At 50.3% G+C, this 14,089-nt stretch overlaps 1 protein-coding gene across 2 annotated transcripts in view, besides 1 other annotated feature; it reads right to left on the bottom strand.

Annotated features, from left to right (window-relative positions):
* FANCA (FA complementation group A) overlaps positions 1–14,089 on the bottom strand; it is a 79,099-nt gene that overhangs the window by 30,543 nt on the left and 34,467 nt on the right. For both annotated transcript variants that reach the window (NM_000135.4, NM_001286167.3), the window contains exons 18-26: positions 11,778–11,866; positions 10,852–10,912; positions 10,710–10,759; positions 7,651–7,724; positions 5,180–5,293; positions 3,587–3,723; positions 2,473–2,543; positions 2,075–2,168; positions 1,746–1,933 (exon numbers count right to left, since the gene is read on the bottom strand). In NM_000135.4, coding sequence (NP_000126.2) covers positions 1,746–1,933; positions 2,075–2,168; positions 2,473–2,543; positions 3,587–3,723; positions 5,180–5,293; positions 7,651–7,724; positions 10,710–10,759; positions 10,852–10,912; positions 11,778–11,866 — 878 coding nt within the window. The remainder of the gene's footprint in view (positions 1–1,745; positions 1,934–2,074; positions 2,169–2,472; positions 2,544–3,586; positions 3,724–5,179; positions 5,294–7,650; positions 7,725–10,709; positions 10,760–10,851; positions 10,913–11,777; positions 11,867–14,089) is intronic.
* Positions 11,749–12,286: an enhancer, noted in NCBI's record as "NANOG-H3K4me1 hESC enhancer chr16:89846248-89846785 (GRCh37/hg19 assembly coordinates)". NCBI's record gives its function as "activates a minimal SCP1, AML or CMV promoter by ChIP-STARR-seq in naive H9 embryonic stem cells {active_cell/tissue: H9 hESC(naive)}" and the evidence as "EXISTENCE:reporter gene assay evidence [ECO:0000049][PMID:30033119]".

A 14,089-nucleotide genomic window follows, 5' to 3' on the forward strand; every position in this document is an offset into this window, starting at 1 on the left:
AGACCAGCTTGGGCAACACAGTGAGACCCCATCTCTCACTAGCTGGGTGTGTGGGTGTGCACCTGTGGTCTCAGCTACTGGGAGGCTGAGGTGGGAAGATCACTTCAGCCTGGGGGACACAGTGAGACCTGTGTCATTTACTCAACATACATACCTACAGCAATACCCATGTGAAAAATTCTCACTTGTAACCAAGGAAGCTCAGAATGAGATTCCATGAGGCAATGGAGATGTCAAAGCACTGTCATGGTGTTCTTACAGTTCTAATACTTCTGTTTTACTAATACATATTTGAGCTGGGCGTGGAGGCTCACACCTGTAATCCTAACTGAAGTGGGCAGATCACTTGAGGTCAGGAGTTCAAGACCAGCCTGGCCAACATGGCAAAACCCCATCTCTACTAAAAATACATAAATTAGCTGGGCATGGTGGTGCACACCTGTAGTCTCAGCTACTCAGGAAGCTGAGGCACAAGAACTGCTTGAACCCGGGAGGCGGAGGTTACAGTGAGCCAAGATCACGCTACTGCACTCCAGCCTGGACGATAGAGTGAGACTCTGTCTCAAAACAAAAACCAAAAACCAAAAAACAAAAAAAAAAACAAAACACACACCAAATATATATTTCATTCTCCCTTTCTTATGCAAAAAGTAGCATCTGAGACCGAGTTCAGTATTTTGCTTTCTTCACCTGGATATATATCCTGAGGCATCTCTGTGTTTCTAAGAGAGGATGGCCCTGTCTCCCCCAAGCCACCTGGATGCCTCCCTCCTCACCAGCTCCCAACTTCTCCATTGGCTGTGTGCCTCTCATGCCAACACCCAGTACTCAGTGTTTGGGGCCTGGGGTGAGTGGGGACTGTCTGGTGTGGCCAAGCGCCTAGGAGGGACTCTGTATCCCCGGAGTACCGAGTGCCTGCTCCCCGAGGCCCATGTCTGAGGTGTGGGATCCGCACAGCTGCCATCTGACTCCCTCTCCTTGCTCCACGTACATTTCTTGCGCCTCTTCTAAGTTCTCTGTTATTCAGACCCTGTCATAATGTCAGATCTCCCCTTTCCCGCACAGGGTCTCCGGCACCGCAACAGGGCTCTGTCCCGACCTGGGCTACCTCTGCCCAAGAGACCAGAAGCTACAAGCCAAGCCCCAGCCAGCAACTCCCACCAGAGTCTCCCAGCCCTCTGTCCTGGCTTCCGCCTCTGAGTGGCAGCTGAAGGGATTCTGTCCTGGCTTCTGCCTGTGCGTGGCAGCTGCAGGGAGCCCTTGAGGCACTGAGCAGACCATTCTTAACCACAGGGTCCTTCCTCACCTCAGCACATGGCCCCATCTGCTGAGCCCTAGAGAAACAGCCCGAGGTGTACACACTGGGAAGCTACTCACCATGGGGTGCCGAAGAACCTGACCAGAGGGAGCTGGTCCAACCAAGGGCCAGACAAGGGACCAAGACAAAACAAAGCAGCTCTCACCAGGACATCAAAGAATGCTTAACGATATAGACAGTTACTATCTACTATTAATTTCAGCAGTTTAGTATAATATGATCTCATTTTTATGAACAAAGAAACAAACGCACGCATATTATAAACAAATGACAGATAAAATTCTGGAAGGATATATACCAAAATGCTAAAAAGTGGTTATCTTTGGGTGGTATGTCTGCATGTCTGTCTCTTCTAATTTTATCAAACGAGCATGTGTCACTTTTCGAGAGAGAGGAGAGAAGACGCGACTGTGGAAGAAGAGCTCACTTCAGGCAGAAGAACAAGGAATCCCTCGTCCTACAGGTCAGGAGGCTGTCAAAGAGCGCAGGGACAGGAAGGCCAGCACCAGGTGCAGGAGGACCCACATCCACCTCTGGGAGCGCAGACCTGGACTCACCCAGGTGCACGGCCAGGGCAGCCAACCCCAGCACATGTGGGGCACTCAGGCTCGGGCCCTGCAACGAGAATGAGGGTGGCAGAGCAGACTGCCCTCTTCCAAGCTGGAATTTTCCAGGGCACTGAAGACGAATTGAGAAGTAGCAGCCTGGCCCTCAGAGTGGGCCCCCAAGGGTGGCCCCCATGAAGGAGAGCCTCACCTGGTGACGGAGCAGCTGGCAGAGCCGGGTGAGCACTGCAGGGAGCACACGTCCACACATGGTCCTCACGAAGAGGGCAGCCCAGGGACCCTGCCTGCAGAGACAGCCGTGAAACCATCAGTACTAGCCATTCAGTCCTGCACATCCCTCCAACAGCTAATCCAACCACCAGCGGCCGAAGAAAGAGCCAAGCTGTTCCCCAAAACAGTGGTCTTTCTGGAAGACAACCCATCTTCTGCAGTGCTTCCCAACTTCTGCTGCGTCCTATTTGATGAAACTCAGCATCGCCGCATGCTCCTGCGGAGACGAGCTCATGAGTCCCTGGTCTGCAGACTTGGCCCAGCAAGAGGTGGCACCCAGAGGAGCCCCACCACTCAGGGAGCTGCCCGCGCCTTCACCTCTCCGGGGGAGCGACACTGGAGGCAGCCATCAGGTTCTGACAGAAAGACGTCAGCAGGAGGTCCACAGCCTGCAGAGACACAGTTCTCATGAGCGTGGTGTCCTGGGGACGGGAGCAGCAGGAAGGAAGCCGGCCAGCGCTCCCGCCACAGACATCGCAATTCTGCTTTGCAAAAAGACCTCCAAAACAGGCTTGTTTGGAGGGCATGTTACAATGCAAACTGGTGCCCAGGGCCCCCATTCCCCAATCTTGGGAATAGCAGCCCTCAAGTAATCGCCAATCACAAAATTCTACAGCAGCAGGCGGGACTGGCAAACCTTGTGTGTAAGGGGCCAGAAAAATATTTTAGGTTTTGGGGCCAGAAACAGCCTCTGTCGCATATTCTAAAGAGGCAGTCGAGCCCAACCTGGTCAACATGATGAAACCCTGTCTTTACTAAAAATACAAAAATTAGCTGGGCGTAGTGGTGTGCACCTGTAATCCCAGCTACCCAGGAAGCTGAGGCAAGAGAACTGCTTGAACCCAGGAGGTGGAGGCTGCAGTGAGCCAAGATCGTCCACTCCAGCCTGGGCAACAGAGAAGACTCAGTCAAAAAAAAAAAAAAAAAAAGAGGCCAAGTGCCGTGGCTTATGCCTATAATCCCAACACTTTGGGAGGCTGAGGCAGACAGATCACTTGACCTCAGGACTTCTAGACCAGTCGAGGCAACACAGAGAAACCCCAACTGTACAAAAAATGCAGAAATTAGCCGGGTGTGGTGATGCACGCCTGTAGTCCCAGCTACTCGGGAGGCTGAGACAAGAGGATCACTTGAGCCCAGGATGTCAAAGCTGTAGTGAGCCATGATTGCACCACTGCACTCCAGCCTGGGCAACAAAGCAAGACCCTGTCTCCAAAATTAAATAAATAAATAAAATGTAAAAGGAGCTCTTCATACACAAACAGACTGTGGCAGCTGACCCTGGTACACCGCTGCCTGGCCCTGGAACATCTGATACGACACTAACTGAGCAAGTCAAACAGAAATTGAGAGAAGGCTCCATGCGTCTAATGCCTCTGCCTAATGGAAAATGGTGAAGACCCCCTGCTTTGTTCTGAGCCCCTACACCTACCATGTGTTCCCGTGGCTCCAGTCTCGGCGTGTTGATGCTGAGCTGAATCTTTGATATCTCAACGCTGCTGTCATCCTCATTGTGGCCCAGGACAGCCCTCAGTCTTTCAGAAATCACTGCCACCTGTGCCGATATAACTGCGAAGGAAGAAACTAGTTAGGGATGACAAGAACCCCGAAAGGAGGGATACAGCTGCGGCCTAGAGAGCTCCGCCTCCCGTCAAGTACGATTCCACGGATCCTGCTGACTGCACACATCCCCCAGCCAGGTGCTGAACACCAGTGTTTGTTCGCCCCGCAGGATTTGCAGCCTTGTGGTGCAGCATGTGTCATGGCAAATGGGGCCAGACGCCATCCACTACCTTTTCCTGATTGGCTGAGAGGGGGACATGTTCATTCACCAACATGAACCTCCCCATCTGAAATCCCATGCCAGCCCTCCAGACACCACATCTGCCTAAGCGCATGCCAGAGGTTCCATGTTGGCCCAGGGAAATGGGCCACACATAGCCCAACTACATCATTTAAAGGTGAAAACCGCTTTGCTTTTAGAAACAGGACTCACCTGACATGTATCAACCTCTTGCTTAAGCACTGGAACTTTTCCTCCATGTCCCCCATGTACCACATTCTGCACAAGCCATCATTGAATCACCGGAAGGCTGCACTCAGGAACTGGCGCACTTGGTCTGAGTGAAGACCGCCAAGGCGCTGCAGCCCCAGCTAGCGCTAACCAAGCTGTGTTAACATTGCCTCCATGCGGAGCTTGCAGTGAGCTGAGATCACGCCACTGCACTCCAGCCTGGGTGACAGAGCAAGACTCCGTCTCAAAAAAATATATATATATCACCTCCATGTAGGCCAGGCACGGTGGCTCACACTGAAATCCCAGCACTTTGGGAGGCCAACACAGGTGGATCACCTGAGGTCAGGATTTCAAAACCAGCCTGGCCAACATGGTGAAACCCCATCTCTACTAAAAAATACAAAAAATTAGCCAGACATGGAGGCAGTCACCTGTAATCCTAGCAACTTGGGAGGCTGAGGCGGGAGAATTGCTTGAACCCAGGAGGCGGAGGTTGCAGTGAGCCGAGATGGCGCCACTGCACTCCAGCCTGGGGGACAGAGTGAGACTCTGTCTCAAAAAAAAAAAAGAAAAAAGAAACTGCATGTTCTCAATCCACAGATGAACATTTCTTACTCTGGATTTTACAGAAAACCATCACATGGAAGCAGGATCACAGGGCAGAGACCCTGTGTGTCTGATGTGACATCGACTCCGGCAGGCAGGATGAGCGGGAAAACAGGCATCCTAGTCACGCGTTTTCTTCTCTATCATCATTCGTCCTACTCAGATGCAACTAGCCGAATATTCACCTTCTGCCAAGGGTCTGTGACAGCTTCAGTAGGACTAGCCTTCCACCTTGTCTCAAAAAAGGTTCCACACCCGCCAGCCCGGGGTCAATCTTTAAACTACTGGACTACTAGGAAGACACACCAGCCTGATGTCACTATGGGGAAAATGGCCCAGCCACAGAGCTCCAACCACAGGCTGCACACATGAGACACAGCATGAGCTCCCATCCATCCTCACCATCACGCTGGCTGGGGTCTGTCATGGAGGCTCTCAGCTCTCCCAGTGCAGCTGTGAGCTGTCCCAGGGGCTCCTCAGCAGAGTTGGGTTCTGCCCTCACTCCCAGGGCTGCATCTGTGAGAAGAAGGAAGAAACCAGATGGAAAGACACTCAACAGGACTCTTCACTGCAAAAATAGAAACTTCACACAGTCAAATACAGAGCTGTGAACTTCCAAGCTGCTGTGTGTGGCAGACGGAGGGACTGGGAGTCTCTGAGGAGGTAAATGAGGTGTCTTCCCTGATGCTGGATGCCACATCGAAAATTACAATTATAAACGAGTTTCATAAAAAATTACATTTATAAACAAGTTTAAGAAAAAAAGCGGTTCTGTGTGCACCATCAATACCACTCCACCACCGTGAGAAGCATACACACGGAAGAAAACAAGGAGGATCGAGGGCTGGCGAGGGTGGGGACAGGATCACGGATAGGTGACCATTTAGTCCCCTGGTTCCTCAAACTTTTTTTTTTTTTTTTTTGAGATGGACTCTTGCTCTGTCACCACGCTGGAGTGCAGTGGTGCGATCTCGGCTCACTGTAACCTCCGCCTCCCGGGTTCAAATCATCCTGCCTCAGCCTCCCGAGTAGCTGGGACTACAGGCACGCACCACCACATCCAGCTAATTTTTTGTATTTTTAGTAGAGACGGGATTTCACCACGTTGGCCAAGATGGTCTCGATCTCCTGACCTCATGATTTGCCCGCCTTGGCCTCTCAAAGTGCTGGGATTACGGGCATGAGCCACTGCGCCCAGCCACCACTTTCAATATAAAAAGGAAGATACGCTGCATATGTTTTTAAAGTAAAAAACCTTCAAGTTCTGGGGTTGCTGGAGAAGACACAAGCATGAAAATGCACTGCTATGCACAGCCACAGCCAAAATGAAACCAGAAATCACAGGCTCTAGAAATCATAGGCTCTAGGAGTCTGTGCATAAGCCTCATCAGACAAATGATTAGAAACCATTCTGGAAGCCACCAAAAGCTACGAACAAGTGGACCCCAGGGGAAGGAGGATCCTGGGGGAAGGAGGACACCTCTCAAGAGAAGCAAACGCCTCACACCGCAGGGTACACAGCCCTGAGGCCCCTGTGGCATCCCCAGCACAACTGAGAGGTCATGCTCTCAGGGTGGGTCGGCCGGGCATGGGGGCTCCCACCTGTAATCCCAGCACTGTGGGAGGCCGAGGCGGGTGGATCACGAGGTCAGGAGATTGAGACCATTCTGGCTAACACGGTGAAACCCTGTCTCTACTAAAAACACAAAAAATTAGCCGGGTGTGGTGGCGGGCGCCTGTAGTCCCAGCCACTCGGGAGGCTGAGGCAGGAGAATGGCATGAACCTGGGAGGCGGAGCTTACAGCGAGCTGAGATTGCGCCACTGCACTCCAGCCTGGGCAACAGAGCGAGACTCTGTCTCAAAAAAAAAAAAAAAAAAAAAAAAATCTCAACGAGCCTCCCTGGCCCTGCAGGTGGAAGGGGATCTAGAAGAGCACACAAGGGGCTGGGTACGGTTGCTCATGCCTGTAATCCCAGCACTTTGAAAGGCCGAGGCAGGCGGATCAGTTGAGGTCAGGAGTTCGAGACCAGCTTGTCCAACATGGCGAAACCCCATCTCTACTAAAAATACAAAAACTAGCAAGGCGTAGTAGTGCGTGCCTATAATCCCAGCTATTACAGAGGCTGAGGCAGGAGAACTGCTTGAACCCAGGGGGCAGAGGTTTCAGCGAGCCAAAATCGCGCCACTGCAGTCCACAGCCACAGAGCGAGACTCTGTCTCAAAAAAAAAAAGCCCACAGGGAAGCAGCAGCCTCAGATCTATGTCTTCAGCTCATAGCGGCTCCCACAGGGAGATGCTGGCTTCTACTGGAGATAAAGCCACACACTTCAAGAAAAACCAGCCTCATGATGGCATCTCCCACTGCTGCCTGAGTGCAGCCTTTCACGGATTCCCAATGAGGGCGTAGGTCTGACCGACAGCTGCACCACTGCTCCCCACAGGCCAAAAGAGCCTGACTTCTACTCCTACCTGCACTGTGCAACAGAAAAGTGCTGCATGACACTCCCTACGACAGGCTCGAGCCAGCGCTGTGGGCCCCAAGGTGGCCGCTGAGAGAGCACCCGAGTCTGAAGCCTGTACAAACACCTCAGTGCGGCCCACAGGAAGATGACGAGTGACAAAGTGGGGCTGTGCACTGCACACACTCCTTTCCGGAAGGTGCTAAGTGATTCTTCAGGACCCCCAGGTAAGAGTCTGTGCCACAGCTGGCACTGGGCGTCAGCATGGTGGGCGGACCCTGTACCCAAAGCACCGGCTTGAGCTGGCACAGCCACCCCCGAGCTCACTCGGGTGGTGTAGCACAACAGACACTCAAGGTTAGGAAAATGGAAAAGCACAAGTCCCAGAGTGGACAAGCGGCCCAGGAACTTACCTTCTGGCTTCTCTTCAGCAGCAGAGCAGGCCTGGCAGTAGGTGGAGTACAGAGATGGGGGGATTTTATCTGCTCTGGATCACAGGAAAACAATACAATTAAGTCAGCTATGGCTTAAATTAATTCAAGATTACAATCCCCAAATCTATTATAAAATAAAAACATATTAAATTTAAATAAATTATAAATACTGTGTACAGTATGAGCCTGTTTTTACAAAAAAATATTAAAAAATATATATAGATTTAAAAAGCACTGTTTCAAAATATATCATATTAATCATATATTAATATCTAAGGAGCTAGACCACAAAATACCACCAGTGATTATCCCTGGGCAGTGAAATTATAAATTATTTCTATTTCTCTCATACAATTTTTGGTAATTTCCAAATTCAAAACACGAATCTTTGTTTTTCTTTTTTTTTTTTTTTTTTTTTTTTTTGAGACAGAGTCTCCCACTATCACCCACACTGGAGTGCAGTGGTGCGATCTCGGCTCACTGCAACCTCCGCCTCCCAGGTTCAAGCAATTCTCCTGCCTCACCCTCCCGAGTAGGTGGGATTACAGGCGCCTGCCACCAGGCCCAGCTAATTTTTTGTATTTTTAGTAGAGACGGAGTTTCACCATGTTCACCAGGCTGGCCTCGAACTCGTGACCTTGTGATTCACCTGCCTCAGCCTCCCAAAGTGCTGGGATTACAGGCGTGAGCCACCACGCCCAGCAAAACATGAATCTTTGTTAATTTTAATGATTAATACTAAGAAAAACGTTTAGTTCGTGTCATTAAAAATATGCAAAATTGGGCCAGGCGCGGTGGATCCCGCCTGTAATCCCAGCACTTTGGGAGGCCGAGGCAGGCAGATCAGGAGGTCAGGAGATTGAGACCATCCTGGCTAACACAGTGAAACCCTGTGTCTACTAAAAATACAAAAACAAAATTAGCCGGGCGTGGTGGCGGGCGCCTGCAGTCTCAGCTACTTGGTAGGCTGAGGTGGGAGAATGGCATGAACCCAGAAGGTGGAGCTTGCAGTGAGCCGAGATTGCGCCACTGCACTGCAGACTGGCTGACAAACCGAGACTCCGACTCAAAAAATAAATTAAAGAAAAAAAAATAAAACGCATTAGTTCATGCTAAAAATCCTTAGCAAATTAGTAAGAGGGAACTTTCTTAACATGATAAAGGGTAAGCCAGGTACAGTGGCTCATATTTGTAATCCCAGCACTTTGGGAAGTTGAAGCAGGAGGATTATTTGAGGCCAAGAGAGAGAGAAGCCTGGGCAACACAGCGAAAATCCGTGTCCTCAAAGCATTTACAAAATGGCTGGGTGTGGTGGAGCGCGCCTCTAGACCCAGCTACTTGGGAGGCAGAGGGGGAAGGATTGTTGAAACCCAGGAGGTCAAGGCTGGCCAGGTGTGGTGGATCGCGCCTCTAGACCCTGCTACTTGGGAGGCGGAGGGGGAAGGATTGTTGAAGCCCAGGAGATCAAGGCTGGCTGGGTGTGGTGGAGCACGCCTCTAGACCCAGCTACTTGGGAGGCGGAGAGGGAAGGACTGTTGAAGCCCAGGAGGTCAAGGCTGTAGTAAGCCATGACTGCACCGCTGCATTCCAGCCTGGGTGACAGAGTGGGACCCTGTCTCAAAACAAATGAAAGTAAGGATCCCAGAGAATAAACTTATTTTAAGATTTAAAAAATTATTTTTGCAGAGCATGGTGGCTCACGCTTGTAATCCCAGCACTTTGGGAGGCCGAGGTGGGTGGATCACAAGATCAGGAGTTTGAGACCAGTCTGGCCAACATAGTGAAACCCTGTCTCTACTAAAAATACAAAAAAAGAAAAAAAAAAGGCTCTTTGTGTTTATCTTCTTACAGGTCCCAGAACTTTATAAATTTTGCTGGAATATAGGACTTATACTTTCCTATTTCTTCCAAAGTTGGTTGATACCAACCAACTTTCTTACTAGAAACCTGCAATGTAAGTGATCCAAGGATACCTTATTATTCTAAACAATAACTTCCAGGTCTACTCTCAAGTTCTGCAGCATGAGGCTTTCCCAGAGCTCTTTCATTTTCCTTCAGTTCTCCTCTCTGCACAATCATTATGTACTGAAACATTTTCTTTCACTGAAGAATGATGCAGCCGGGTGCGGTAGCTCACGCCTATAATCCCAGCACTTTGGGAGGCCGAGGTGGGCAGATCGCTTGAGCCCAGGAGTTCAAGACCAGCCTGACTAACATGGTGAAACCCCGTCTCTACTAAAAATACAAAAATTAGCCGGGCGTGGTGGTGCGCGCCTGTAATCCCAGCTACTCAGGAGGCTGAGGCAGGAGAATTCCTTGAACCCAGGAGGTGGAGGGTGCAGTGAGCCAAGATCGCACCACTGCACTCCAGCCTGGGCAACAGAGTGAGACTTCATCTCAAAAAAAAAAAAAAAAAAAGGCCAGGAGCGGTGGCTCACATCTGTAATCCCAGCACTCTGTGAGGATGAGGTGGGTAGATCATCTTCTGAGCTCAGGAGTTTGAGAACCGCCTGGCCAATATGGCAAAACCCTGTCTGTACTAAAAATACAAAAATTAGCAGGGCGTGGTGGTGCATACCTATAATCCCAGCTACTCAGGAGGCTGAGGCAGGACAATTGCTCCAACCCAGGAGGCAGAGCTTGCAGTGAGCCAAGATTGTGCAATTGCACTCCAGCCTGGGCAACAGAGCGAGACTCCATCTAAAAAAAAAAAAAAAAAAAAACTTAGCCAGGCACAGGCTTGTAATCCCAGCTACTCAGGAGGCTGAAGCAAGAGAATCGCTTGAACCTAAGATGTGGAGGTTGCAGTGAGCCAAGATCTCGCCTCTGCACTCCAAGCCTGGGTGACAGAGTGAGACTCCAACTAAAAAAAAAAAAAAAAAAAAAAAAAAAAAAGTAACCAACCAATTTTGGAGCCAATATTTTACCAATAAAACACAATAGTGGTCTAACAAATTTCTCTACAGAAGATCCACAATTCTTCGCATTGTCAGAAGAAACCTGGAAGTAGTCATCCCCTTCTAACCGTTGCTGCATACCTCTTCAGAGACTCTATAAACGCCACACGGGAGTCAGGGACTTTGGGGAGCTGTGGGAAGAGAAGAGACCTGTGAGAGACTGACAAGGAAAGTCCTTGCTTTCTACACAACTGGTCACAAACTCATGGAGACGCATACTGACCACTCGAGGTGTGAGCAGGGCGGGGAGGAAGTGGGACACGTAGTAAGGCCTCCTGAATATGCTGCAACACAGAGAAGCAGACAGTGCATCAGTCAGAGCAGCGAGAAGGCAATTCCCACAGACGGTGACCGGTGTTTCAGAGAGTGGACTGCGAGGGCTCACTCCAAAGCCACGATGCATTATGAAGTCTTCTTGTGCACAGTTCCGGGACAAGGCATGTGTAGGGCAGGCCGTGCTAGCCCAGCCCTGAGTCCGTGGGAATCAGGACCACATTCGGCCTGCTCCCTGGGCTTGAACGTGGAGCCTGGATCAATCTGAGGCCACGAGGACCATGTAAGGTCCATTTGGGGCAATTTCCTTGGAGCTAAATTTCAAAACCCTGGGAGCTGCAATCAGCTCATCCACATGTGTAACCACCAGAATTCAAGATGTTTTGAGATCATACCAAATTCAATAAAGCTGTGCTATTCAGCTCTCTGTTACTGACTCCATATTGGTCACAAAGAAGGCATTGATAAAAAAAAAAACATCATGGCCCCACTGCCTTCCCTCCCAGTGCAAGCTCCCCAATCAGCAGTTCCTGTTGGCTGCTTCAGCACGGGAGGGGCATCACCTGCTTTTACAGAGGAAAAAATGTTTCACAGCAAATGCACAGCTCTTGACCTCACCCCGTATCCCTTAACGGCAGGATCCTCGATTCACAGCCCTGACTCCTGTCTCTCTCTGAATAGACAGTGGCCAACCTGCCCCATGTGGCTCTGGGCAGAAATGGGACACACTCCAAAGAGCCCCAGACGCTGGCAGGCATCAGAGCGGAGTCTGCACACCCTGCAGGCATCAGAGCAGAGTCTGCACATACTGCAGGCATCAGAGCGCGGTCTGCACACACTGCAGCTGCTAGAGGCCTTTTCGGCAGCCCAGCCTACCTGGCCTCCATGACGGTGACTGGGATGTTCCCCGTATGCTCAAACACCATGATGGCCTTTTCAACATCCTGAAGAGCTTGGCTGTGGGGCTGGTTCCCATACAGGGAGGAAAGGAAAAAGAACAGAGGACTTTAAAGAAAAGACTGAGCAGTGAAGGCCACACTCAACCTGTGCTTCCTTGTTGAAAGGCTCTGTACACATTAAAGGTAAAGGCCCACATGCTGTGCGCACAGCAGGGGCCCTGGAGCACTCCAAAATGTCCCAAAATACCAGCACGACAGGGGAGGATGACACTGCCACCTCCACACACACAAGGTTCAGACCCCGTGATGTGCGGCCCTCCTCGAGAGCTCAGCTCTGCTGAGAGCCTGCCGTGAGCCTCTTTCCTGCCTCCAGGAAAGAGTTGAAAGTAAAGATTTCTAGGTGGGAAGGAGTAGAGACTTAATTTTTGAGATTAAAAGAAATTACGAGGGCTGGGTGCCATGACTCATGTCTATAAACGCAGTGCTTTGAGAGGCTAAGCGGGGCAGACTGCTTAAGCCCAAGGAGTTCAAGCCCGGCCTGGGCAACATGATGACATCTCATCTCTAAAAAAATACAAAAACATTAGCCAGGTGTAGAGGCATGAGCCAGTGGTCCCAGCTACTCAGGACGTGGAGGTGGAAGGATTGCCTGTGCCCAGGAAATCATGGCTCCAGTAAGCCATCATCATGCTACCCTACTGCAGCCTGGGCAACAGGGGAAGTCCCTGCATCAAAAAAAAAAAAAAACATTCTGAGGCCAGGCGCGGCAGCTCACATCTGTAATCCCAGCATTTTGGGGGGCCAAGGCGGAAGGATCACTTGAGCCCAGGAGTTTAAGACCAGTCTCGGCCACACAGGGAGACCCTATGTCTGCAAAAAATTTTAGAAACCAGCCAGGCATGGTGGCGCACACTTGTACTCCCAGTTACTCAGGAGGTCAAGGTGAGAAGATCGTTTCAACCTAGGAGTTTGAGGCTGCACTGAACTGTGATCACGGTACTATACTTCAGCCTGGTCAACAGAACAACATCCCACCTCAAAAAAAAAAAAAAAGTAATTTATAAACAGCAATAAATTATAAATGGAAAATTATATTAAATATTTTCACCTAACACTTTAATGTCACCTATAAGTGTTCTTCAGTAACTCGTAACTTTAAAATAAAAAGGTCTTAAAAAGTAAAGAATGGAGGGCCAGGCGCAGTGGCTCACGCCTGTAATCCCAGCACTTTGAGAGACCGAGGCAGACGGATCACGAGGTCAGGAGACCGAGACCATCCTGGCTAACACGGTGAAACCCCATCTCTACTAAAAACACACAAAATTAGCCTGACGTGGTGGCGGGTGCCTGTAGTCCCAGCTACTCGGGAGGCTGAGGCAGGAGAATGGCATGAACCCGGAAGGCGGAGCTTGCAGTGAGCTGAGACTGCGCCACTGCACTCCAGCCTGGGCAATAGAACGAGACTCCATTCCAAAAAAAAAAAAAAAAAAAAAAACAATACGCTGGGCACAGTGGCTCATGCCTGTAATCCCAGGACTTTGGGAGGCCAAGGCGGGCAGATCACGAGGTCAGGAGATTGAGACCATCCTGGATAACATGGTGAAACCCCATCTCTACTAAAAAAATACAAAAAAATTAGCTGGGTGTGGTGGCAGGTGCCTGTAGTCTGAGCTACTGGAGAGGCTGAGGCAGGAGAATGGTGTGAACCCGGGAGGCGGAGCTTGCAGTAAGCTGAGATCGCACCACTGCACTCCAGCCAGGGCGACAGAGCGAGACTCCGTCTCAAAAAAAAAAAAAAAAGTAAAAAGTAAAGAATGTTTTCATTAGGCCGGCCATGGTGGCTCACGCCTGTAATCCCAGCACTTTGAGAGGCCGAGACGGGCGGATCACGAGGTCAGGAGATCGAGACCATACTGGCTAACGTGGTGAAACCTCATCTCTACTAAAAATATACAAAAAATTAGCCAGGCGTGGTGGCAGGCATCTGTAGGCCCACTATAGGCTACTCGGGAGGCTGAGGCAGGAGAATGGCGTGAACCCAGGAGGCAGAGCTTGCAGTGAGCCGAGACTGCGCCACTGCACTCCAGCCTGGGCGACAGAGCGAGACTCCATCTCAAAAAAAAAAAAGAATGTTTTCATTAGTGACCCACACATATCACATGACCATCTGACATTTGGCTGCTATAAAAACAGTTAACACTTGGCCAGGAGCAGTGGCTCACACCTATAATCCCAGCACTTTGGGAGGCCAAGGCGGGCAGATCACGAGGTCAAGAGATCGAGATCATC

The sequence above is a fragment of the Homo sapiens genome, chromosome 16, assembly GCF_000001405.40.
Source record: "Homo sapiens chromosome 16, GRCh38.p14 Primary Assembly".
NCBI classification, from domain to species: Eukaryota; Metazoa; Chordata; class Mammalia; order Primates; family Hominidae; genus Homo; species Homo sapiens.